Source organism: Homo sapiens, chromosome 4 (assembly GCF_000001405.40).
Source record: "Homo sapiens chromosome 4, GRCh38.p14 Primary Assembly".
In the NCBI taxonomy this organism is placed as follows: Eukaryota; Metazoa; Chordata; class Mammalia; order Primates; family Hominidae; genus Homo; species Homo sapiens.
The window spans coordinates 169,744,736-169,772,107 of record NC_000004.12 but is presented as its reverse complement, the minus strand read 5'-3'; the positions used below and the strand labels follow the sequence as shown (position 1 = coordinate 169,772,107).

The window sequence follows — 27,372 nt, the reverse complement described above, 5'->3', positions numbered from 1 at the left end:
GCAACCTCTGCCTCCCGGGCTCAAGCAATTCTTGTGCCTCAGCCTCCCAGGTAGCTGGAATTACAGGCACGCACCACCACGCCCAGCTAATTTTTGTATTTTTAGGAGAGACAGAGTTTCACCATGTTGGCCAGGCTGGTCTCAAACTCCTAGCCTCAAGCGACCTACCCGCCTCAGCCTCCCAAAGTGTTGGGATTACAGGCGTGAGCCACTGCACCTGGCCTGGGGCATGTTTCTTAAAATATTCCTCTGTAAAATGGAGCTAGCTGCTTTGCAGAATTGTGAGACTAACGTTTAGATATGTACAAACATACATGTATGTGTGTAGGGTAGGTGGAAAGACAGAAGATAAAGGCGCCCTCTACTATTACATTTCTCTTCTCTCCCCCTTCAAGGCCAAAATGACTCAGAACACAAACTCAAATATCAGGCCAATTAAATATCTGCTTAAAGTTTTGCCCTGAAGGACTATTTTGATTTCGCATTCTTTAAAGTGTGTTTTACTTATTTAAAAAATATGGCCGGGCACGGTGGCTCACGCCTGTAATGCCAGCACTTTGAGAGGCCAAGGCAGGCTGATCACCTGAGGTGAGGAGTTCGAGACCAGCCTGGCCAACATAGTGAAACCCTGTCTCTACTAAAAATACAAAAATTAGCCAGGAGTGGTGGCAGGTGCCTGTAATCCCCGCCACTTGGGAGGCTAATGCAGGAGAATTTCTTGAACCCAGGAAGCAGAGGTTGCAGTGAGCCAAGATCATGCCACTGTACTCCAGCCTGGGTGACAGAGTGAGACTCTGTCTCAAAAAAAAAAAAAAGAAGAAGAAGAAGAAAATAAAAGTTATTTCTAGTTCTACTGAAACCTCAAACTATTTACTCCTGGGAGCATTTCAGATCAGTTGCAAACTAATGACAATGAGTCATCAGTGATGTACTAGGGATTGAAGAGCTATCAAACTTCTCTGGGTTTTGAGATCTGTGTAATACCAACATCACTTTGGGGTGCGTTTTTGTTTCCTTTTTGGCTTTTTGTGGGTGTTTTGTTTTGTTTTGTTTAAGGCAGAGTCTCACTCTGTCACCCAGGCTGGAGTGCAGTGGTGCAATCTCGGCTCACTGCAACCTCAAACATACATGTGTGTAACCTCAATTTATGTTCATGACAGTGGGGATTTGTTTAAATGTCTACATTCTTTCTAATAAACTGTTGGAAGACTTCTTGGCTGTCCTTTTAAGTGTCTGGCTTACTGTAATTTTTATGTATTTACCATTTACTGGAATGGAGTTTTTAGTTTTATTTGAGGAAGAATTTGGGATTATTCCTGTTTGAAAAAAGAGGCTTGCTGTAATGTCACAGGAAACCTTTTTAAAGTGGATCTGTAATAGAATATTGTAGATGCACTTTGTAGCAGTTGGAAAAGAAAGTGTTGTGATTTGATAAAAATAAAACTAAATGTGTTGTCCTCCTCTAAAAACAAATAAAAAAGAAGCAGCTGTTCTGCAGCTGTAGCCATGACAATGTGCTTTCCTTCTAAGAGTCCTGGGAATAAGCAGCCCTATGACAAACATGTATTTCCTCCAAAAGAAAATAATGCCTAAAGAGCAAAGGAGCAGAGTTTACCTCTTTATTTTGCAGACAGCATCTGAAACTATTGATAAAGCCATTTTCATCAATTTCATGGTGTAGTTTACCAAAGAAAAAGATCTGAAATTTAGAAGTTATGTCAGCAGTGGGAAAACAGATGTACCTAAAAAAAGCAAAACCACCTATTTCCATGACTCTAATTTCCCAAATGTAAAATAAGAAAACAGTCTCTCATTTATCCAGAAATAATTTATCTGGCAGGCCTCTATTTATCTAAGACACAGCTCAAAAGCAGAAAGTAAGAACAGAAAAAAAATACTGTTCTAATTTTGCCTTATTTGATGATTGCTCCTTGTTAAAAACCAGGGGCAATCATCAAATTCTATCTTGTCTGACAAGGAGCTATTTTGGTCTGTTTGCGTTTGTATAACAGAATACCTGAGACCAGGTAATTTATAAAGAAAAGAGGTTAATTTAGTTCATGGTTCTGCAGGCTGGGAAGTTCAAGCGCAGAGCCCTGGCATCTGGTGCTGCATCATAACATGGTGAAGAAGGTCAAAGGAAGAACAAAATGTGTGAAGAGGCCAAACTCAAAGGCTGCCTCTTAACTTTATAATAACCCACTTTGGTGGGAAAATTCCCGTGGGAACTGATCCAGCCTTTAGAGAGTGAGAACTCACTCACTACTGCAAGAACAACACCAAGCCATTCATGAGGGATCCGCCTCCATAACCCAAATCACTCCAAGGCTGCACCTCCCAACGCCATCACACTGGGGTTCAAATTTCAACATGAGTTTTTGTGGAGACAAATTCAAACCATAGCAGAAGCATTCAAGGACCTGCTCATACATTTACAGCAGAACTGCAAAGACTCACTTCTCACCTAATTTTCCACACATCTCTCAATCTTGACTCACTTTCTAATGACATTTTCTTATCTCTCTTGGCTCAAAGATTCCATGGACCACCCTGATAATGTCCTGGTTCATTGCTGCCCGTGGAATCCCCTTCCCATACACTGTCTTTATGTACAATTACTACCCTCTCTCTCACCGTCATGTAGCAGGTAGAAAAGTGCATGAATAATTTTGAAATCTTACCTCCTTCCCAGAAAAAAAAGCTCCTGATAAATCTGTTTGGAGCAGACTACCATTGATTCTAGGTAGGGTGGTATACAGTGGCTAAATGATTTTGGAATTTATAGAGACCAACACAATGCCTCCCACATAAGTGACCCCCAATGAATATTTGCTAAATGATGGCCGGGCGGGTAGATGGATGGATAAAAATGTGCTGATTGGTGTTATGCAAGTATTTTATTCTTAATTTTTAATTAATATATTAAATCATTAATGTTCATTGCAACATATATATGGCTTCTACAGTTAAATTTAAAAGAGGACAGCTTGCTGCCTTCCTTACCTGATAATCTTATGTGGATTCTTATATTGAAAAGGACAACGCTAGCTATTATTAATATAATAAATGAATACCAACATTAATTTATAGTGGGTTAATATAATAAAAGTTTATTTCTTGCTCATAAAGAAGTCCAATCAAATTCAGCTGTTGTGAATTGTCAGGTGGCCTGCCTGTGTGTGGTGGTAGAGGCTCAGGTTCCTTCTAACTTTGGCTCTGTTATCCCAAGAGCCTCAAAGCCCTCTTTATCTAGCTGGCAGAGGAGGGAGAGAAAGTGAAGTCACCCTTGCTTCTTGAGAAAACCTGGCCTGGAGGTGACACGCATCTCTCCTACTTACTTGCCATCAGCAACAGTTCATCATGTGGCCGCATCAGGATGCAAGGTAGGCTGGGAAATAAAGTCCCTGGCTAGACAATCGCCTCCTACCTACCACAAATTCATGCTAAGGAAAGCTGAGCACAAAATAGCCATCTCACTGTTTAACCTCAAAAGAAATACTAAACAAAACAATTAGCAAAGATTGCGTTTCATGACAATGCTATTTTGAAAAGAGCACTCTCCAATACTGCTTCTAACTGATAAAAACACATTTTCATTCCATTTTCTTTTCTTCTTTTCCAACATCTTTATTTTACAGTTTGAGAAACTGTTTCAGAACAATTGAGTGATTGCTCAAGATTTCTGAGCAGACAAATGCAAGGATGGGACTAGAACCTGGGTTTGCCAATCTTTCGTCCAATGCATTTTGTAAAACCTGACCTTCAGGTTATAACTCTGAAGGGGCTGAAGACAAGTAGAATGGAGATAAATCAGATAAGCCCTGACTTTTTTATCCTACCATGTGTAGGTTATTCCCAAGCAGCAGTGCCCTTAACTCATGCCAATGGGAAAATAACATATGCTCTTTTTATTTTGTCTCTGTTTATTTATTTATTTTAAAACGTTTTTATTTTACTCTCCTTCCCCACCCCCACCTTATTGAGATATAATTGACAAATAAAAATTCTATATAGTTAAGGTGTACAACTTGATGTTTTAATATACATATATTTTTGTGAAATTATCACCATAATCAAGCTAATTAACATAGCATCACCTCACACAGTACCTTTGTGTGTGTATGTGGTTAGAACATGTAAGATCTGCCCTCCTAGCAAATTTTAAATATGCAATACAATATTCTTAACTGTAGTCACAATGTGGTACATTGTTTTGTTCAATTTCAGACTGCCTTGTTTACAAAGCAATTTGGGAATATGGATTATGACACTAAGTTTATTCCTGTCTGTGAAGCCAGCAGTTCCTCTAAGAATTTAAACTAAGGTAATATTCCAAAATATTTTTTAAAACCTTATGTACAAAAATGTTGACCACAGGGTTATACATAGCAATAAAAAGTTATGACACACAGTAAAAACTTATAACTACGAGAACAGTTACTTTATCAAACATTTGTCCAATGGCATATTTATGTAGCCATTAAAATATTGATGAAGCATTTTTACAATGTTTATTTGTTATTAAGCTTACTTTTTAAGGCCTATTACCAAATTTTATGTGCAGCATTATTTCATTTAACAAACTATAATAAGATACATGTAGAAAAATACTGAATATACCAAATATTGTCTGAGGCTACATCTAGGTGGCATAATATAATTAATTTTCTTTTTATTTTTAGATAGTATTCAAATTTTCTAAAATTATTACTACTTTTTATAGAGACAGGGTCTTGCTATGTTGCCCAGACTGGTCTCAAACTCCTGGATTTAAGTGATCCTCCCACCTCAGCCTCCCAAAGTGCTGGGATTACAGGAATAACCCACTGCACCCAGCCCTAAAATTAAGTATAACTTTATATTCAGAAATTAAACACATAACTTGGAAGGTGAGGAGAATGACCTTATACAAGGCAATTACTCAATAGTAATATCCTGTTGGATCCTTCTAGTAACTGCTCCCTACATTCCCAGCTCCTGTTTCCTTGGCTATTTTCCACAATCTTGATCTCAGTTGCTGCTTTTGATGTTCCCTTGTAACATCACCTCGCAAACTCCTCATATTACCTGAGCTTGCTCTCTACCATATCGCCCTTTGTTGTGTCACTTCTTATTTCCTGGTGGTAACACTAGTCGTTCAGAATTTTTGCTCTGATCAACTCTGTGATAGTCACAGAGTAAAATGATTAGATCAATTCTTTTAAAGAGACTACTCTGGAGCAATGTGTCTGGAAGGTTGGAGTGTGATAAAGACTTACATAATTCTTACACTGCTTCTATGTGACTAGCAGGAATACTGACTGTACATTTATAGGACTCCTCAGTACACTATAAGCTCCTGGAACATAGCAACTGTGTCATCTTGGTCTTTTCAGTGCCTAACATAGTTCTGACACATAATTGGGACTTAATAAATGTTCTGAATGAACAAATAACTGAATGGATGAAAGGATGGGCAAGTAACTATTTAATGATGGTGACTGCTATTCATTAAAGAGGTCGATAAGCCAATTAATATTTACTGAGCACCCATTATGTGCCAGTTTGTGCTCAGAGCTAGATTCTAAGAAATTGTGGTAGGAAAAGAATTGGCGAATCAGCTGGAATTTTCATCCACTGTAAATATGAAGACTGGAGAACCTCTGGGGCCTTTCAAAGATGTGTTTGGATCATCCAACTAGTGCTAATTAAGGGTTACATGGTCCCAGAGTAACTGATCTGGATTAAGCATAATTGGGCAGACCAGTTTCACCACCATTTAGCTGTATAATTTGCCAGAGTCAAAGTGGCCAAAGGTAAGGCCAAGAGTGCAGTGTCAAAGATTAATGCTACAGCTCATTTGCAGCCCATCAATAACAATTGTCTAGGATCAGCTCTGCCTGAAGCTTCTGCTAACTTTTATACAGCAAATTAGAAAAAAAGTTTATCCTTCCCAAATCTGTTTCTTCTGCAATACAATCACCCATATCTCCCAAATTAGGTCCCCCTGCTATGAATAGCCCCTAAAAGAAGTCCTATTTTACAGCCTATTTGGGAATCAGAATCATAAGGCTATGGGGGCTCTGGGCCTTCTCAAAGCTGATTTATCCTCCAGGGTTGGCCAACAGCGTGAGTCACAGGACTCAGCTCAATCCTGACTGCCAGAGTGAATGACTTCCATCATTTAGAACCTTAGAAATTCAATTGGATAAGCCTGTAATTCCTTACACATGTGCTGCTCTATGTGGTTATTCTGCCCTGAATACACGTTAATGCTGAATGTCTGGCTACACTCTCAAGTCCTGGGATCCTAAGTGGCATCTTGTCTTGTCTTTAATTTTCAGCAGCTCTCATAACAAAGGCAGAAAGAAATGCTTAAGAAGCTAGCTATGACATCTATGGCCTTCAAAGTGCACAAAGATTGAAAAAAAAAGAAAAAACTTGTAAAAATATTCTCTTTTTTTTTTTTTTTTTGAGACAGAGTCTTGCTCTGTTGCCCAGGCTGGAGTGCAGTGGTGGGATCTCGGCTCACTGCAGCCTCTGCTTCTCAGGTTCAAGTGATTCTCCTGCCTCAGCCACCCAGGTACTAGGATTATAGGCATAAGCCGAGCCCGGCTAATTGTTGTATTTTTTAGAGATGGGGTTTCACCATGTTGGCCAGACTGGTCTTGAATTCCTGACCTCAGGTGATCCGCCCACCTTGGCCTACCAAAGTGTTGAGATTACAGGCATGAGCCACCACACCCAGTCTAAAAATATTCTCTTTGATCTAGAGCTTAAATTTAGATGAATGCTAGAATCAGACGCTCTTAAAGAATACATAGGAACTCTTGCTTCCATTTTCTGTCTTTTATTAATCCATGTTTCACCAAGGACTACCACCTACATAGCAAATCCAGTAACTTTTAGACCTGAAAAATATACATTTCATAGCTACTATTGTTGTGTGTTCTCTAAATCTGTATTGTGATTAGGATCCTTTTCTTTTTTAGCATTTTATTTGGTTTGAGAACCTCGAACCGTGCCATCCTTACATTTCACTGATTTTACTTGTCACTCTATAGTTCTGGTAGCCCACATCTGAATTCTCACTTATTAGTATTCTACAGAATCACATTCTATATATCTTGTTTGACACAGATTTCTATAAAAACACATATTTTAAGTTATCATATTATAATTATTAAGGGAAAATCAAAGGTGCTGGCAATGACCAATCAATTCTGCTTTCATACAGATAATTTTTCCACGTAAGCTCACTAGCATCATCCCCAATGAAGACATAGATCTAAAAGTATATTGATGACCATTGTGTCACCCCAGATTTGACAAAAAAGGAAAAAACAATACAAACAAATATAACTTTCTCCCCAGGCAAAGTCAGCAATCTGATACAAAGCTATGGACATATTATGGCTTAATTCTAGGGAAACTGGCAATTTTTAAATTATTTTTTCTAATAAAACTGATATCCTTCTAGTTTTTTCTGTCTTTCTTTCGAGACAGGGTCTCACTCTGTCACCCAGGCTGGAGTGCAGTGGCGCAATCTTGGTTCACTGCAACCTTTGCCTCCTGGGCTCAAGCGATCCTCCCACCTAGGCCTCCTGAGTATCTGGGACCAAAGTCATGTGCTACCATGCCCAGAGAATTTCTGTGCTTTTAGTAGAGACAGGGTGTTGCCGTGTTGCCAAAGCTAGTCTCGAACTCCTAAGCTCAGGCAATCCACTTGCCTCGGCCTCCCAAAGTGTTGGGACTACAGGCGTGAACCACTGCACCCAGCCACCTTCTAACTTTTTCTTTGTTTCACTGAGAAACTTAAAAAAAAAGTCTTTCAAAGATACAAATCTCAAAAGAGGATATTATTTATGTCAAACTCACTAGAGGAAAACAAAACATTGAGAGGCTAAAAATTCTGCAATTTCAAACCACTCCCAGTGAATTTTATTTGAAAATTTCCCAGCAACCATAAATACATGAGAAAAGCTCCAGTTAGCCCTAGTGAATAAGAGAAGGTAAGTTATCTTCCTGAAGTAGTGACAAAGAGGTCCTCAATCAACTTAAAGAGGGCAGCAGAATAGTTAAACATTGCATTTCCTTATTTCCTCTTTTACTGGCCGTTTTGAAAATGAGGGACCCACAGTTTTGTCCACTCTCTTGATTAAAGGGAGGTTCAGAGGATACAGTAAAACCTATGTATCCTGGCAGGACGTGGTGGCTCATGCCTGTAATCTCAGCACTTTGGGAGGCTGAGATGGGAGGATGGCTTCGAGCCCAGGAGTTTGAGGCCAACCTGGGCAATACAGTGAGATCCTGTCTCTCTCTCTTTTTTTTTAAAGATGCATCCTTTAGATACAAATTTCCTAAGTTAATTAAACTAGGATTAAAAATGCAAGTGGCTCTGTGAACTACAGACTTTATTCAATCTGGCTGATTGCTAGACAGACAGTATTGCATAGCGTTGAAAGTACTCTGAAAGGATAGACTATTCAGGTTTGAATCCCACCTCCAGAGCTTGCTGTGTGACTTTGGAAAATTCACTTAACCTCTTTGAATGTTAGCTGCCTTATCTGTAAAATGGGAGTACAAATAGGAATTACCTCACATGACTGGTATGTGGCTTATATCAGTTAGTCTCAGCAAAGCACTTAGTATTATTGTGGTTTATTCAAAAATGCTCAACATTGCTAGTTATCAGAGAAATACAAATTAAAACCACAATGAGATAGTACCTGACACCTGTTACAATAGCAATAGACATTATCAAAGATAACATGGGTTGGTGAGAATGTAAGAAAAAGGAAACTCTTGTACACTGTTGGTGGGAGTGGTAATTAACACAGCCATTATGACAGTGTGGAGGTTCCTCAAAAAACTAAAACTAGAACTACTATATGATCCAGCAATTGCACTCCTGAGTATATACACAAAGGAATTGCAATCAACATGTTAAAGAGATGTCTAGGCATCCATATTGATTGCAGCATTATTCACAATAGCCAACATAAGTGTCCATCAACAGATGAATGGATAATGTGGTACATATACAATGGAATACTATTCAGCCTTAACAAACGAAATTCTGTCATTTTTGACAATGTAGGTGAAACTAGAGGACATTATGCTAAGTGAAATAAGCCAGTCACAGAAAGACAAATATTGCATAATCTCACTTATATGTGGAATCTAAAAAAGTTGAACTTACAGAAGTAGAGAGTAGAATGCTGGTTACCAGAGGCTGGGGGTTGGAAATGGGAACTGCAGAGATACTGTCAAAGGGTACAAAGTTTTAGTTAGACAGAAGGAATAAGTTTTTGAGATCTATTGCACCACATAGTGAACATAGTTAATAATAATGTATTACATATGACAACATTGTTAGAAGAGTAGATTTGAAATGTTCTCACTCCAAAAAACAATAGGTATTTGATGTAATGAATATGTAAATTAGCTTGACATAATCATTCCACTGTGTGTATATATATATCAAAACATCACATTGTATTCTATAAATATACACAATTATCTGTCAATTAAAAATAAATATTAGAAAAGAATAGTATTGCATAGTAAGTACTAGATATAAAACATTTATTAATAATAACTTTGTTTCAAAATGACAGACACTGATAACCTGAAGAAGTATACCAAATTTGGTCAACTCTACCCATTCCTTCAAAATCACTGTGGAGTAAACATATGAACAGGATAAAATATATTAAATGTCAAATGTTTGAATTAAAATAGAAATTTCATTCTATAAAAGATGGTTACAAATTATTATTCAGAGCAAAGTTTTAGTTCTGAACTTGAAATTGCATATAATAAGTGCAGTTTTACAGGTTACAACTGCCAACCTGATGTTATTCAACTGAAAAATAGCAACAATAAATCCTCCAGTTAACATACTTAACATACCTTGAAAACATCCACTTTCCTCCACTCCTTAAGAAGCCTCACTAAAACAAAGATAAAGAAGGTTAAAAAGGGGGACAGATGGACCATATACTCATAAAAACAAAGAAAACTGGAGAAGAGACAACTGAAAAATGCCACAAAACTTTAGAAATCAGTTGATGTGGTTGAACTGCATCCCCCCAAAGGATACATTGACTGTAACCATATTTGGAAATAGGGTCTGCGTGGATGTGATCAAAATAAGATAAAGTGACAGCCAGGTGTGGTGCTCACGCCTGTAATCCCAGCACTCCGGGAGGCTGAGGCAGGTGGATCGTTTGAGGTCAGGAGCTCAAGACCAGCCTGACCAACATGGTGAAACCCTGTCTCTACTAAAAATACAAAAACTAGCTGGGCCTGGTGGTGCGTGCCTGTAGTCCCAGCTACTCAGGAGGCTGAAGCCGGAGAATTGCTTGAACCTGGGAGGTAGAGGTTGCAGTGAGCCAAGATGGCACCACTGTACTCCAGCCTGGGCAACAGAGTGAAACTCCATCTCAAAAAAAAAAAAAAAAAAAGATAAAGTGATACTGGATTAGGGTGGGCCGTAATCTAACGGACTGCTGTCCTTACAAAAAGAAAGTTAGACACAGGCAGATGCACAGGGAGAACACGTAATGACAGAGGCAGATATTGGAGTGATTCATCTGCAAGCCAAGGAACACCAAGGACTGCCAGCAGTCACCAGAAGCTAAGGCAAAGGCATGGCACAGATTGTCCCTCAGTCCCCAGAAGGAACCAACCTCCTGACACCTTGATTTTTTATTTCTAGCCTCCGTAACTGTGAGGGAATAAATTTCCATAGTTTTAAGCCACCCAGTTTTTGGTAATTGTTATGGCAGCTTTAGGGAGCTAATATACTGGTGAACATATGGACTTCCCAGAGAAAACCCAAGTGTTTTCAGAGATGATGCCTGGAAGCAAGCTCACTGACACTGCAGAACCTCACAATGGCTCAGGAATTGGAAGTACCATACCTCTTCAGTGGGTTGAGCTGAAAAGAGACCATTAAAAGTCCCAGAAGCAGTTAAGACTCCTAGATTTCCTCCCCTGGCAAAGTCAGGGAAACATTCTCTAACCTCCATTCCCAACCTGAAGATTGTTTCTTTTGGGAGATATGGAACCAGAATATGGATTCAGGGACACCAGACACAGCTGAAGGTAAAAATGCTATTATGAAACAGTGGTGTTAAGTGAAGGTATGCATAATTATATCTTATCTTATTTTTGTTTGAGACGGAGTCTCACTCTGTCGCCCAGGCTGGAGTGCAGTGGCGTGATCTCAGCTCACTACAACCTCTGCCTCCCGGGTTCAAGTGATTCTTGTATCTCAGCCTCCCAAGTAGCTGAGACTACAGGCACGTGCCACCATGACTGGCTAATTTTTGTATTTTTAGTAGAGATGAGGTTTCACCACATTGGCCAGGCTGGTCTCGAACTCCTGACCTCAAGTGATCCACCCTCCCTGGCCTCCCAAAGTGCTGGGAAACAGGCATGAGCCGCCACACGCGGTGGAGAGTTAATTTTATGTGTCAACTTGACTGGACCACAGGATGCCCAGATACCTGGTTAATCGGTATTACTGAGTGTCTGCGGGGGCACTAAGTAAAAGAGATTATCCTCACCAATGTGGGTGGGCATCATCTTATCCATTCGGGTCTGAATAAAACAAAAAGGTAGAGGAAGGGAGGATTCACTCTCTCTCTGCTAGATTCTTGAACTGAATCTTTGATCTTTTCCTGCCCTTGGTGATCCTGGTTTGCAAGACTTCAAACTCGAACTGGAATCTACACCATTGGCTCCCCAGTTATCAGGGCTTCAAACTACAATATGGGCTTTCTGGATCTTCAGCTTGCAGACAGCAGATTATGCAGCTTCTCAACCCCTATAATCACGTGAGCTAATAGATAGCTAGATACAGATGTAGGTATAGATATAGATAAATAGATACCTATTTGTTCTGTTTCTCTGGAGAACCCCGACTAATACAGTGCATATAATGAAATTATTAAGACTCCCAGCCTCCTTCCTGCATTGGGCTCCAAGAAGTCTGTATATTCTCAAAGTGAGTAATTAGAAGATTACTCTCTAGAAGAAAATAAACAGCTGGTTCTTTCCCCATCATCTTACACCTTGTCCAGCAGTAAACAAGCCTTGCCTATGTCCCCAAAGCACCTTTTTAGAGCCTCATTTTTACATATAAATTGACAGCAAGGATCACCACACAAGATGAAGAATGCCTCTAGCAGAAACAACAGGAACCAAATGTAAACAAACAAACAACCAAAAAAGACTCAAAAGAATCAAAGTCAATGCAGAGTTACGTAGAAAGCATTTTTAAAAACGCTATAATTGACATCTTCAGAGATAAAAGGAGCTATATTCATGAAAAATAATGTAATGCTATAAAAGAACAGAGAATAAAAAGAGCACTGAGAAATAAAGGTATAATACAGAAATTAAGTAATTAATCTTTATTAAGTATAATAAAGAAATTAAGTAATTGTCCAATTAAGTTGAGAAAGTCACAGAGAAAGTAGAATAAAAATATGAAGACATAGAAAATAGGACAGACAGGTAAGAAAAAACATCAGCCAAGAAGGTCCACGATCTAAATAACAAATTTCAAAAAAGAAGAGATACGATGGGGGGTGGGGGGGAAGAAATGATCAAATAAATAATACCAGAAGAATTCCCATAACTGAAGAACATGTGTTTCAGGATTGAAAAACTGGTCGATAGGAATGAGAAAAGACCCATAACCAAGACACTCAATAGTGTTTTAGAACACTGGGAATAGGCCGGACGCGGTGGCTCACACCCGTCATCCCAGCACTTTGGGAGGCCGAGGAGGGCGGATCACGAGGTCAGGAGATCGAGACCATCCTGGCTAACACGGTGAAACCCCGTCTCTACTAAAAATACAAAAAAAAAAAAAATTAGCTGGGCGTGGTGGCGGGCGCCTGTAGTCCCAGCTACTCCGGAGGCTGAGGTAGGAGAACGGTGTGAACCCGGGAGGTGGAGCTTGCAGTGAGCTGAGGTGGCACCACTGCACTCCAGCCTGGGCAACAGAGCGAGACTCCGTCTCAAAAAAAACAAAACAAAACAAAACAAAACAAAAAACACTGGAAACAGAGAAAAGATCCTAAAGCTTCTTGAGACAAAACAAAACAGAAAGGAAAGCAGGTTACATATCAAGAAATTTAGTGACCTGTGAAGGAGAAGGAAATATAACGACATAGTTTCTTAACAATTCTGGAAGCTAAAATATTGCGGAGCAAGCCCTCCAATATTCCGAGTGAAAGTTATTTTCAACCTAGAACTGTGCTCAGCCAGAATAAAAACATTTCCAGACATGCACACTCTGTGGGAAAAAAGACCTGGCAGCAACCTCTCTCAAGGAACTATTGGCGGATATGTTCCACAACATGAGGGTATATAATCAAGAAAAAGGAACACCCAGATTGAGGAAATAGAGAACTCATCTCAGGAATGAGGAATAAGACCTTCCCAGGATGGATGTGAAGGAGGTCCAAGGACATCAGTTGAGAGTTGTGCCTTCCAAATTTTATGTGCATAGGAATTACCAGGGGATCTTGTTGCGATGCAGATATTGATTCAGTAAGTCTGGGTAAGGCCTGAGATTTGGCGTTTTAACAAATTCCCTCAGGATGCTGAGGCCGCTGGTTCAGGGACTACACTTTGCATATCAGCGGTGTAGAGGAAAAACAGTCCAAATTGTACCAAGAAGACGACGGTACAGAGACAGAGACCGACAGACATTTATTTCCTTCTTGGAGACAATCGGGAATGAATTAGTGTAAGCCAATAACCGTACAGTAGGGTAGGGAGAGGGATGGAGGAGAAGGAGAAAAGGATTAATATTTTAAGTAAATATAAATGAAGAAAAAACAAGGAAGGGGCTGTATTGAGAACAGCCGCATACATCCAACCTTGCCTCTAGTAGACACCTGAAGAGGAAGGTTGGACCACTCTAAGGATTCAGATTCAGTAGTCTGGGGGGTCTCTGGAGCGACCCTGGAAGATGCTCCAGAAAGCCTAGATGCAGACTACGCTGACAGAAGACGCTCCTTGCACGCGCCCAGCACGGGAGTGGGCGGGGCCTCAACGCGTCCGGTGCCAGGTCTCAGGGGGCGGGGAATGGGCGGAGCCTTTCCCCTAAATTGGCGAGCCCGGGCGGCGCTGAAATTCGGCTTGGAGGCTTTTGAACCCGGAAGCGGTTGGCGGCGCTCGGAAGCGGCCGCGGATCGGGGAATTCTGCTGGCGCTGCAGCTGCAGAATGGTCGGCGGTGGCGGGAAGCGCAGGCCCGGCGGAGAGGGGCCGCAGGTACTGCCGGAAAGGCTGTGCGGGCTACGCGGGGCGCTTTGGGTGACAGCCAGGGCACCAGGAGGCAGCGCTTTTCATTCATCCAGTGACTATTAAGCTTGCTGTGTGTCCAGGGGCTGCGGTTTGCTGCGGGGATCCTGCCCAGGGCCGCTGTTTCGCGCTCTGCAGGGGGTTGGACCAGGAAAGTAGCTCCTCTGCATCTTCTGCCCAGCTCCTCTTGGAGCATTTCCTGGGGAAACGGATTAAGCCAACCAATGGTTCATTCGCCCAGCCAGATTGATTGGGAACCGATTACATACCTGACATTCTGTGGGGCGCTGCGGATTTGGGGGTCAACCTGCTTGCTCCTGCTGCTTGTTGAGCCCTCGGCCTGGGGAGGAGGGGCACAAGCAAATATGCATTCTACTGTGACTTTTTTGTTTGGGATTATAACGCTGGTGTGTAGAAAGTGCTATGGAAACACTGAAGGAGGATTTAACAAGTCCCAGGGGGTGTTAAAGAAGACTTTTAAGACAACTCTTTGAAAATTGGTTTTGAAGGCAGAGAAGTAAGATTCTGAGACATAAAACTGTAGGAGATGTTTGGGCGTAGCGGAGCGTTCGGCTTGGCTGGAGCCAGGGAAATGGGAAAATAAGAGGGACCTGATCATAAAAGCACTACTGAGAGGGGAGGAGGAGAGAGTGTGTGCATTCTCATACTTTACTACGATTTCGGAAGTTCTGTAACCACTACAGTAGCAATAAGGGGAATCAGGAAAGAAGTGCCATTGTGATAACTAAAGTTTTAGAAAAGTTACTCTGGTAGTGTCATAAATCGGACAGGGTGAGACATTCTTAGAGGGCTTAACTAACTGTTAAAGGGCCATCGGTATAGGCATCCTTCATATTGGGTCATGCATTCTAGGAAGACCAGGGTAAAGAAGAAGTGTAGCCTCTGAAGGGGACAGCTGTTCTAAATCCTAGTTGTTAGGGCTATGGAGATGCTGAACTAGTGTGTGAGTAAAGGCACAGCTGAAAAAATTCTCTTTTTGAAGGTGCAGTGAAGAACTGCTTTGGTGGAGTGATGTGCTTAACTAGAAATACAATAACAGAAATGAAGATGAGTCTGTAGAGACTATAACCGTAATGGCCAGCATTTGTATATTATGTGCTAGGACCGTTCTGTGTATTTTTACATATAATAACATTCCTTGTAACAACCCCGATATAGGCACTGTATGCCCTTTTTGCAGATGAGAAAACAAAGCACAGAGAGGTTAAGTAACTTGCCTAAGGTTGGAAATCAGTAGAGTCAGGAGTCAACCCAGGCAACCTAACTATTATGCAAAACTGCCTTTCAGCAAGGCAGATTAAGCCTTTTCTAACATCTTAAGTTGGAGCCAGTCTTTGAACGTCTGAACAAAGACAGTTATGAAAACAGAAGATAGGATAGCTCAGGACTTCATATGTTCCTACTGTTCTATATTTGATGTTGGAGAAGCAGCATAGTGAAGTGGTTGAGGATCTGCTGTGGACCCAGATTTAAACCTGAGTTTAAATCCCTTCTCTTCCACTTCCTAGTTAGGGACGTAGGGAGGTTAACCTCAGTTTCCTCAGCTGTACGATGAGGTTAATGGTATCTAGTGCATGAGACAGTTGAGGACTAAATGAGTTAATCCACAGAAGGTGCTTAGAACAGTGAAACAGCACAAAATAAGTTCTCAGTAAGTATCACTTAACTACTTGTTTTTACTATTATATTATCTTTACTATTACTATTTGCTATTATTGATACTCACTTTTGGATTCATTGTTCAACAGGCTTTTTGTTGAACGTAATTTTTTTTATAAATCAGACACATTATAATCCTTGGCATAATAAACTGTTACCATATTCATGATCGTCTTTGACCTTATTTATGTTAAGTAATGTAACAAACACCAGTGAACCCATTGCCCAATCCCAAAGCTGAAACAGACAATAGCTCTACATCTACACGTGTTCCTCTCCTATCCGTTCAGCCTTCTTCCTGTCAATTATTTTCAGTGTAGCTATCCTGAATTTTGTTTTCCCTTGCCTTTTAAAAATAGGCTTATCTCCCATGAGTGTATACCTAAACAATATTTATTCTTAGTTTTTGAACTTCATAAAAAGGCTATCATGCTGCATATAATCAAGAGCTTTTTTCCTCATTAAAAATATTGAATATAGGTTGGTCCATATTGTGTAGCCATAGAGTAACCATTCGGTAAATGACGGAGATTGGTTCCAGGACCTTAGGAGAGCATACACTAATTTTTAAAGCAACAAGAAAACAAACCATCTCATTAGCCAAAGATAACACAGTTAATAGTCTAGTATACAGTAACAAATTTCCATATATCCCCAAATCTGAGCATACCCAAGTTCCAAAGTTGGTCCTGTGGAACCCGAGTATACGAAAAGTTGGCCCTCTCTATAAGTGGATTTCACATCCCAAGAATACTGTATTTTTTTATTTGCATTTGGTTGGAAAAAAAATTCATGTATAAGTGGGTCCACAAAATTCAAACCCTTGTTGCTCAAGGGTCAACTGTAATATTAAGTGTAATAGTCTATTGTTTGAAAACCTTACAACTGTTCTCCTAACAATAGGTATTTCATTTGTTCTGTTTTTGCTCTTGGAATTAATGCCACCATGACCATTCTTGTATCATCTGATTACATTTTGTAGACGTTGAATGATACCTAACGTTAATAAACTTCAGACTACTGAGAAAATAGAAGAATATAAATATGAGGGGGCGGGGGGAGGGATAGCATTAGGAGATATACCTAATAATGACGAGTTAATGGGTGCAGTACACCAACATGGCACATGTATACATATGTAACAAACCTGCACATTGTGCACATGTACCCTAAAACTTAAAGTATAATAATAATAAAATAAAAAAATATATAAATATGAGAAACATCTAGCTCAGAATTTCTCAACTTGAGCACTGTTGACATTTGGGGCCAGTAGTCTTTGTTGAGGATGCCTATCCTGGGCATTATAGGATGTTGAGCATACCTGGCCTCTGCCCCACTAGCACCGTTTCTTCCAATTGGTGACAACTAAATAGGTCTCCAAATGTCCCCTGGGGGGCAAAATCACCACCGGTTGAGAACCACTGCTCTAGGTAGGAAGAATAAAAAGGAAAGAACTTAATCCAAAAAGAAAGAATCTAGGTTCATAGAAAAACAGATTGCTGCTTAGAAAACTAAACATACGTAACTTCCAATTAAGCATATTGTCTTTACAGAAATTTATCAAATATCTAGTAGGCATTATAAAACCTAGTATACTTATATAATGAACCTGTATTGTGGTGGTCCTAGAGATGAGTATTATAACTTCATCCTGGCATTAAAAGGCCTTTTCTGAAATAATTGGATTTTTGGCCCAGAGTTTAGTGCTATTCTGCTAACTTTATTAGGAACTATAGATGTTTAACATTGTCACTAACCTTCCCTCTTTATCTGGAAAATCAAAAGGGAGGTATCTGTTTTTAAGGCTGGGTAATGATTGTAGTGAATAGCTCAGACACAACTCTAGAAGTTGCTAAAGAAACAGCTTTTTAACTGATGAATTGCTTATATCCAGTTACTTCTATTTGTTTCTCATTTGATCAATGAATCTGTTTAAAAGACTCACACCTTTAACCAAAAGAGGGCAAAATCTGCCCTTTCTTTATTCCTCTCTTCCTGCTCTTTATTATTTCTTTTTTTTACCTTTTTGTTTTTTGTGGTTTCCATTATCTTACAAAAATATATTTAAAGACTTGCTGTGTGGATTCCTCTTAACCACCATATAAACTACTCTTTTTTCCTGTGCCCAAATGAATTCCCAGATTTTACTCAAAGACCATTTAGAGAGTTTTAAGGAAAACACATGTATTTCATAGAGTTGGGTGAACAAGAGTGATAGATACTGTTATGCAAGGAGAGTTACTGAAATTTGGAGAACTAAAGTTTGTGTGCCAATTTTCAGTGTGAAAAAACAACTGATGTGAAGAAAAGTAAATTCTGTGAAGCTGATGTCTCCAGTGACCTTCGAAAAGAAGTAGAAAATCATTATAAGCTTTCTTTACCTGAAGATTTCTATCACTTCTGGAAGTTCTGTGAAGAACTTGATCCTGAAAAGCCATCTGGTGAGTTGCTCCAGAATCATTCTTGTATTAATGGAAAGAGTAATGTAATAGGAAACCAGCTGGGTGTGGTGGCTCACACTCTGTAATCCCAGCTGAGGCAGGAGGATTGCCTGAGGCCAGGAGTTTGAGACCAACCTGGTCAACATAGTGAGACCTCCACAAAAAAATTAAAAACAAAAACAAAAAACTAGACGTGGTTGCATGTGCCTATAGTCCTAGCTACTTAGGAGACTGAGATGGGAGGATCCCTCCTTGAGCTCAGTGGTTTGAGGTTGCAGTGAGCTCTGATCACTCCAGCCTCAGTGACAGAGCAAGACCCCGTCTCTAAAACATAGAATAATTGGCCAGGCATGGTGGCTTATGCCTGTAATCCCAGCACTTTGGGAGGCTGAGGCAGGCAGATCACTTGAGGTCAGGAATTCGAGACCCGTCTGGGCAACACAGTGAAACCCTGTCTCTACTAAAAATACAAAATTTAGCTGGGCATGGTGGTGCACACCTGTAGTCCCAGCTACTCGGGAAGCTGAGGCACGATCATTGCTTGAACCTGGGAAGCAGAGGCTGCAGTGAGTCGAGATTGTGCCAGTGCACTCCAGCCTGGGTGACAGAGCAAGACCCTGTCTCAGAAAAAAAAAAAAAAAAAAAAACCTAACCAAGGATATAAACTGTTCATAGAAAACAAATATTTTCCAAGATGTTTCTTCTAGTAAGAGAAAATATAGAAAGAAATATAGATTAATGCTATAGTAATGCCACTGTCACCTAGTTTATTGGCAAAGGTAATTTCATCACATTCTGGGGGAATGTGAAGGAAAGCAAGCTCTTTCATGTGTTGCAGGAGTTATAACAGTTCTGCTTCCAAGAACTTGTCTTATGGATTACATAAACTAAGAATTATGTTTGAGGATATTTACTTAAAGAAAAAATGGGAAATGGCTTAAATGCCTACCAATACCACATCTATTCAGTAGATCTTCATTGTTTTAAAAGAATGAAGCAGATTTTTAGGAAATAATAAACTATCATGCCTGAAATATGTTAAGTGAAAAAGAAGAGTGTATAGAGTATGCTACCATTAGTATTTTTTTAAAAATAGCATGGGGGAGAGAGAGTACACACATATCCCTGTATACTTTTCTGTGTGCTTATTTTGTCTCTGAAAGGATAAAGAAACTGTTAATGGGCTGTGTTCATTACTTTGCACTATACTATTTAAATTTTTTAACTAGTAGGCACTGTCATACACTATTGATGGAAATGTGTATTGATACATATTCTGAATTTTGCCAGTAGATCAGAACAGAACTGTGTAGCTGTTTCTTTAAAAATAGTCATGCCTTTAGCTGGGCGTGGTGGCGGGTGCCTGTAATCTCAGCTACTTGGGAGGCTGAGGCAGAGAATTGCTTGAACCCAGGAGGCGGAGGTTGCAGTGAGCCAAGATCACACCACTGCACTCCAGTCTGGGTGACAGAGCGAGACTCCATCTCAAAAAAAAAAAAAAAAAAAAGTCATGCCTGTATACAAACATTTATTAGCAAAGATGTTCACTGAAACATTTTAGAACAGAAAAAAGAAATAGTAAATTTCCCTCAGTAAGAGAATAGATGGTTACCTCTTTATAATGCAGTATTATGCCCTATTAAAAAATCATGTCAAATAACATTGAATAGCATGGAAAAATATTCAGAACATTTAAATGGGACAGGATGGAGGACAAAAGCAGATTACAATACAAAACAACCCTTCTCAGTTTGTTACATGTTTGTATCTGTTCATGGGGGTGGAGAGTATGGAAATTTGTTACTGTATAATAGACTATTAACTGTTATCTTCGGCTAATGAGATGGATGGTTTTAGTTTTCTTCATGCTTTAAAAATTAGTGTATGCTCTCCTAAGCTTCAGTTAAGCTGAACTATTTTTCCTGTCAAGTTATCTCCATGCTTCTATTCATGTTATTACCTCTTCCAGGAATTTTTTTGTTTTCTTCATCCTTCCCTCCTTATAAAACTGGGTCCTGTCTGGGGTGCTTCCCTCCATCTTAGAAGTAAGGACCCATTTGAAGTTATGCATTGTACACTTGCACAGACTTCATGTCTTTGTGGTTTATGAACACTCCCTGTCTGTGATCCGTGAATAGAGAAGGAAGATGGAGTCATCCAGGGTTAGGGTTGGCCAAATAGATTGTCAAAGAGTCAGGGGAATCTGGTGTGATTAGCTGAGGTAGAGGAAAGGGGATAGAAATGTTTTTTACCTTTTTTTTTTTTTTTTTTTTGAGACAGAGCCTCACCCTGTCACCCAGGCTGGAGTGCAATGGCGCAATCTCGTTTCACTGCAACCTCCACCTCCAGGGTTCAAGTGATTCTTGTTCCTCAGCCTCTCCAATAGCTGGGATTACAGGCGTGAGCCACCACACCCGGCTAATTTTTGTATTTTTAGTAGAGACGGGGTTTTGCCATGTTGGCCAGGCTTGTCTCCTCCTGACCTCAGGTGATCAGCCCGCCTCAGCCTGCCAAAGTGCTGGGATTACAGGTGTGAGCGACCACACCTGGCCTGTTTTTTACTACTCTTAATCCACACATTTTTGCTATCTTTCTCTCCCTTAACCTGTGTGTACTACAAGTATTTGAGGCTAACTGCAGTGTGGTAATGGGCCTATAGGAATACAAACCAGTCTTGCTTTGGCCAAAATAAGAAACAACAGGAATGTCTGAAATGTTAGGCTAATTCAGTGGTAAATTTAAGAGGAAATCCTAAATGTAAATACCACTTTTCCTGTTACTCTGACTTCTTTTCCATTGAATGTTTATAACTGACATCTTCACACATAACTCAAGATTTTTTTAGTTTAGAAACTTTTTAAAGACAATTGCTTAGAAATAGTTTACTAAATAAAAGCATTATTTCCTACCTGTCTCCAGAAAGTATTGTCTAAATTTATTTTCTTTATAGATTCACTTTCTGCAAGCCTTGGACTTCAATTAGTTGGTCCTTATGATATCCTTGCTGGAAAACATAAAACGAAGAAAAAATCAACAGGCCTGAATTTTAACCTTCACTGGAGGTTTTACTATGATCCTCCTGAGTTCCAGACCATTATTATTGGAGATAATAAAACTCAGTACCACATGGGGTATTTCAGGTAAAGGATCTTTTCTTCGCCTCTAAAATACAGCTGCTGTCCTGCTAATGAGGATAAATAGTTATTCACTAGCCTCACCCAAGGTGAAAGGCATATTTTCCCCTGTTGGTGGATATATGAGCCATCTGTTGTTCTTGCTGTTACCGTTTTAACCTTCCCTAGGATGGGTAAACTCTTTAGGTTTAATCTCACTTGTTTTTCCTTTCCTTGTAAACTTTTTTTCCCTTTTGGGTTCAGAAGAGCTCTTTTGGCCCAAGAAAGATAATTTAGAGCAGCTGTGCTTAATAAGCCGTGTGCCAGAGTGGCAACTGGTAGTTAAGAGTGGTCTCTGGAGTCACACTGGTCCTCTTGTTTATTATCTGTGTGACCCTGTATCATTACTGACTGTGACTTTCTGTGACTCGGTTTCCTGTCTTGTAACAATAGGGATAACTGTACATACCTGATAGGAATATTATGAGAATTAAATGAATGCATGCAGAATACTTAGAAATAGAGAAACTCCAGGAGGAAAATACTTGTCCGCTTGTACCAGTAGAAATGCTATCCTTTAAAGTGAAGATTAAATGTAAGGTAATAGAAGGAACGTGCCCAGGAAGAAGTGTTGTAGTACAGCAGAATGCACATGTGGCTAGGAATTGAATTATACTGTAGCCAAGGTCCTAACTTACTAGGTCCTTGGCTGAGTAATTTAACCTCTCGGTATTTGTTTCCTCAATTTTAAAATAAAAGGTTTGGTTATATACGTGAATAGGATCCTTTCATCTCTAATGTTTTACAATCCTTTTTCTTGTTTTTCCTTTTTTTTTTTTTTTGTATTTGAGTATAAAAGCAACTAGGTCCTAAGAATCTTAGTTTTAGGTTCCATTATATAAGATTTATCATAGATATTCCTAAGAAACTTGGAGCTTAAAACTGGCAAATTTGTTTGAATTTTTTTAAAAATGCCCTTATAAAAAAGGCATCAACCTAGATCCTTGGGAGGGACCTGGCTTTCCTTTTTAAAAGATATTTTACTGAGGAGCTGATGAAAAATGACTAGTGTGGGGTTAGCAGATCGAATAATTTGAAGTAGACCATGCAGTATTCCTACCACTACAATGTAATCATCCTATTTGTGACAGAGAAAGGGAAAAAAGTGTAATAATAGGACGATGTACCTATAATTTGGATAATTTTGAGCTATTGAAATGTCTTTGTAATTTTCACAACTGTTGTCCGTTGTTTGAGGATGCTACCTACTAAACTGAAAACATTCATTCCATATCTACTACATATACACCAGCAACAGTATAAATTTAAGCCTAACTTTGCAATATTTATAATACTTTAGTGATGGAATTTTTTAACATGCAGTATGTAAATGTGCAGATTTTATGTGTGTTGACAAAATTTTTCAGCTTGCAAAATGGGACTGCAATATTACATTTTTCACTTAAACAATTTTTTACATCTACGTTGTTGCTTTCTAAAATGAATGTGAATGCCATCTTTTATGACTGCAACTTGCCTTTTCCATTACAGAAATTTTTGTTTGATGTAATCGATAAATTCTGGTATGATTAAAAAAAAAAAAAGGCCTCCAAAAAGGAAAAAAAATAGGTGTAAATTGTTGTCTGTAGACCTGAAATCCCACTTGCCTGATAATATAAATTATGGGCAGCTAAATTTTTAATGTCTTTTGCTTACACAGGGATTCTCCTGATGAATTTCCTGTATATGTTGGTATAAATGAAGCAAAGAAAAATTGTATAATTGTTCCAAATGGAGATAATGTATTTGCTGCAGTCAAGTAAGAATATTTTAATTTATATTTGTTTACAATGTTTATACTACATTAGTCCATTACAAAGGGGGTTTGAGGGGCTGGGCACAGTGGCTTACACCTGTAATTCCAGCACTTTGGGAGGCCGAGGTGGGCAGATCGCTTAGGTCAGGGGTTCGAGACCAGCCTGGACAACATGGGTATACCCCATCTCTACTAAAAATACAAAAATTAGCTGGAGGCATGGTGGCACACACCTGTAATCCCAGCTACTCAGGAGGCTGAGTCAGGAGAATTGCTTGAACACAGGAGGCGGAGGTTGCAGTGAGCCGAGATTGCGCCACTGCATTGCAGCCTGAGTGACAGAGTGAGACTCTATCTCCAAAAAAAAAAACAAAGCGGATTTGAGACAAGCCCATAATTGTAGATTTCTAGAGATAATTTCCATGACTTTTGCAGGTAGTCTTATCTATACTGTTATTTTGTGCCTCTTCACCAAAAAAATACACCTCTTATGTAACTATTTTACTTAACGAAAATAATACTTGACCTCAGGTGTTCCATGGCAACATCAACAGTTTTGTTAGACATCTGATTTTAAACACCTGTTAAGAGTTTATTTCTTATGTATGGTTCAAACAGAAAGGCTTAATAAAGTAAAAAGAGGTGGTCATTATATCCTTGGAAGGGTTGAGGGAGCAGGCTGAGCTTCCAGGAATGACAGTTGTGTGGCTCACAGTGGATTTTGTCTCTGCCACCATCAGGGAGCTGGGAATTCGAGAACTGCTGCCACAGTGAGTGGCTCTAGGACCACATTATCTTTGGTATAATCTGGGCCAGGTAAATGGATGCCCTACTCTTTGCCTCTCAGCCCCCGTGAAGCTAAGAACCAGGTGCTGGGATCTCAGCTACAGCTGCTGCAGAACCATCAGATGCCTCTACAGCTGTGCTCATTGATGGAGATCGTGGAAGCACAGCCTCCATGTGGTATCTCTTCTGCCTCTGAGATTTCAAAGTATTGCAGCTGCTTGGAAGAAGATAGGTCCCATGTGGAGCCTGAGCTAAAGAGTAGTATGGGAAATGCAGTGAACTTTCATGGGGAAGGGGTTGGAATAGAGGTGAGTGAGCCAGTCTGTGCTATATCAGCCACAGACATGACTTGAAGCCATTTTATTTGTCAGCAGCTGTGTAGTTTGCATTGTAATGAAGAAAGCAAACTTTATCACTTCAAATACAAGTAGATTATCTTTTCTTTGACCTCTTTTAGTACTGTCTCTTTAAAGGGCTGTTGTTCCCTGTGATTTGATCATACAAATTTGCAGTAAAGTGAATTCAAACTAAATCACCCTACTACAACCACTAGACTATGCTACGTACATACTGGTGTATCTACAAGGCAGCTACATTGTAGATGTCCAAAAATGTTCTTTCTTTTCTAATACCTCTCAGTTTCCTATAAAATGTTACTTGGTATTTGTAATTTATAACTTCTTTTAAACTCTTTGGATTTATCATTCAATTTAAATTGGTGCCATCTTTATTAGAAACTCTTGTTGTTTTCTTGCTTATTGTCTGTCTCTTGCACTAGCATGTTAAGTTCCACGAGGGCAGAGTATCTGCCCCATACTAGATGCTCCATAAATATTAATTCTATAAATACCTTGGCATGTAAAAACACCTAATTTTTTCAGGCTGGGCAACATAGTGAGACTGTCTCTTTTTCGAAAAACAAGCCTAACTTTTCATTTGTGTTATTAGTCATGTTTTTTTTTTTTTTTAAAAAAAGATAACATAATAGTGGTCATGTAACATAACCCAAGACTCTTCTGGTATCTTTTTTTTTTTTTAAGCTAATTGGAGAACATAGACAATGAAAAAGAAAAAAAAAATGCATGGGTGATATTTATAACTTAGGTGAAGATCAGCAAGTGAGTATTTGAGGAACTACCTCCAATAATTTATCTCAAACAGGGGTAAAAAATTACTTGAGATATAACTATTTTAGTACTTTTAAAGTATTATAACGGTTTTAGTTTTTTAGGTACTACCTCCTTAAATCAGCTAACCAGAACACTTAATTTCTTTATATATTTTAAAATTTATTTTTATGGCAGACTGAATAAGGTCTTTCAAGGCATACCTTTGATCAACACATTTTTATCTTTAGTTATTATTAAATCTTGTGTCTGCAAGATTTAATAGTAACTAAAGAAATGCCAATTTAACCAGCAAAGATTTTTTTTAAAGGTTAAAGAATGGTAATAACCAATGATGGTTAGGGTATAAGAACCCTTACTGATGTGTTAATTGGTAAAACTTTTGTAGAAAGCAGTTTGAAAAATGTTTAATGTTAACATTTGAAAAATGTTAACTTAGAAAGCATATTCTAAGATTTCTTAATAGGTGACATTGTCAGGTACTATGTGAAGTACACATTTATACCCTTAAGTTAGCAATTTCACTTCTAGCTGTTTATTAAAGGGATTTTGGACAGGTACAGAAATATGTGTATTACAGATTGTTTATCAAATGAAAAATTGGCAACATATCCAGCAATAGGGAAGATTAGGTAAATATAAACTATCCATATACTATAATACTTTGGTATTGATTTGTTGAATTTGTTATGAAGTGGGCAAATAACAATAGTGTAGAATGATTCCATTTCATACTGTCTAATGCATATGGAAGTAAACATAATTCTTAAATAACTTTGAACAACAAAGGAATGATTTTTTTTTTCCTTCTGCCTTATTTATTTTCCTAAAATAACTGGGGTAAACAGTTTTGACCTTGGGTCAGGGACCCTTAAGGTCAAAACTATTTGTGATAATAAAATGTTATTTTTGCACCAATGGCACAAAGTAAATAGTGGATAATACTGTTGTCACCTTGGCAGGAATCAAGATAGTGCCACCAGGGTAGCAGCAGTCATTGCATTATTCACAGCAGTAACATGCAAATGTATTTAAAAATGTTTGTGATGGAGCCAGGCATGGTGGCTACTCGGGATGTTGAGGTGGGAGCATTGCTCGAGCCCAGGAGTTCAAGTTCATCCTAAACGACATAGCAAGACCCTGTGCCTGAAAAATGTCAGTGTTGGAGTATACATGTATTAGATGTCTACCATTGAGTTCATCTCTTTAACATTCTGTGATGAAATAGGAAATACATAGAAAGCATTTCTCATACTGAAGTACTGTGGTTTGTCTCAAGGGAAAAAAAAGCCCTTGTATGATTGAATTTTGAGATGAACTTTTCCCCACTTTTAGAAAGAGTGACTCATTGACTGTGTGCCTGTCAAGATTCCCTCTGGTTTTCTGGCTAGAAAGCTCACCCATTTCCAGTTTCTAAGAGTCAGTTCAGTGGCAGAGCCACCAGGGACAAGTAAGACTCTTGGGGGTGCTTTGACCCTGCCTACCTGGGAGCACACTTTTCCCTTCCCTGATGACCTGGGATGGTGGCCAGGCCGTGCCCTTGCTGTCGCTGGGCAGTGTCCTTTTGGAAAGGGAGCTGCCCCAGGGTTTAGTGCAGCTGCCAACCCTGTTAGGCCCGGCCTCTCGAGGCCTCTTCCGACTTCAAGGGTCACACACCCCCAAAGATCCTCTCACCCATGGTAGTTGCTGTGCATGGTTCTGTCTGTCCGTGCACCTATGCACACACACCACCCCACCACCCTACTCTGAAATTGGCGAGTGAGTTGAGAGCCAGCTCTGTGGGGTCATCCCGCAGCCATGGTTGTGCCTGTCCTTCATGGTGGTCTTTCAGGTTATCTTGGCAACATGTACATTGCTTTTCTTTTTTTTTCTTATTGTACAGTCAGTACTATAAAATTTCTCTTTGAGTTTTATACCTTTGTAGCATTTTAGATGACATTGTGTTTGTACTTTGTTGTGTAGAGTGGAAGAATTGTGTTGAATAAACCCAAGATTGGAATGCAAAAAAAAAAAAGAGTGACTCATTGACAAACTGGTTATTTGGGTCTAGCTACTGGCAGGAATTCTCTCAAATGAACCAAAGAAAACAACTGACTAT

The 27,372-nt window shown here is 39.3% G+C and overlaps 1 protein-coding gene and 1 long non-coding RNA gene across 2 annotated transcripts in view, besides 1 other annotated feature; one reads left to right on the top strand and one right to left on the bottom strand.

Moving 5' to 3' along the window:
- Positions 1-9,180: 9,180 nt before the first annotated feature.
- LOC107986240 (uncharacterized) lies at positions 9,181-14,045 on the bottom strand. The gene is made up of 3 exons (XR_001741529.2): positions 13,884-14,045; positions 9,895-9,935; positions 9,181-9,245 (listed from the first exon to the last, which is right to left on the bottom strand). It is a non-coding gene; the product is annotated as an uncharacterized LOC107986240 (long non-coding RNA).
- Positions 14,164-27,372, top strand: part of HPF1 (histone PARylation factor 1) — a 28,475-nt gene continuing 15,266 nt past the window's right edge. The window contains exons 1-4 of the mRNA NM_017867.3: positions 14,164-14,278; positions 18,273-18,432; positions 21,383-21,572; positions 23,266-23,364. Coding sequence (NP_060337.2) covers positions 14,231-14,278; positions 18,273-18,432; positions 21,383-21,572; positions 23,266-23,364 — 497 coding nt within the window. The 5' untranslated portion in view covers positions 14,164-14,230. The remainder of the gene's footprint in view (positions 14,279-18,272; positions 18,433-21,382; positions 21,573-23,265; positions 23,365-27,372) is intronic.
- Positions 14,247-14,316: an enhancer, noted in NCBI's record as "active region_22145". NCBI's record gives its function as "activates an Ori minimal core promoter by ATAC-STARR-seq in GM12878 lymphoblastoid cells {active_cell/tissue: GM12878}" and the evidence as "EXISTENCE:reporter gene assay evidence [ECO:0000049][PMID:35858748]".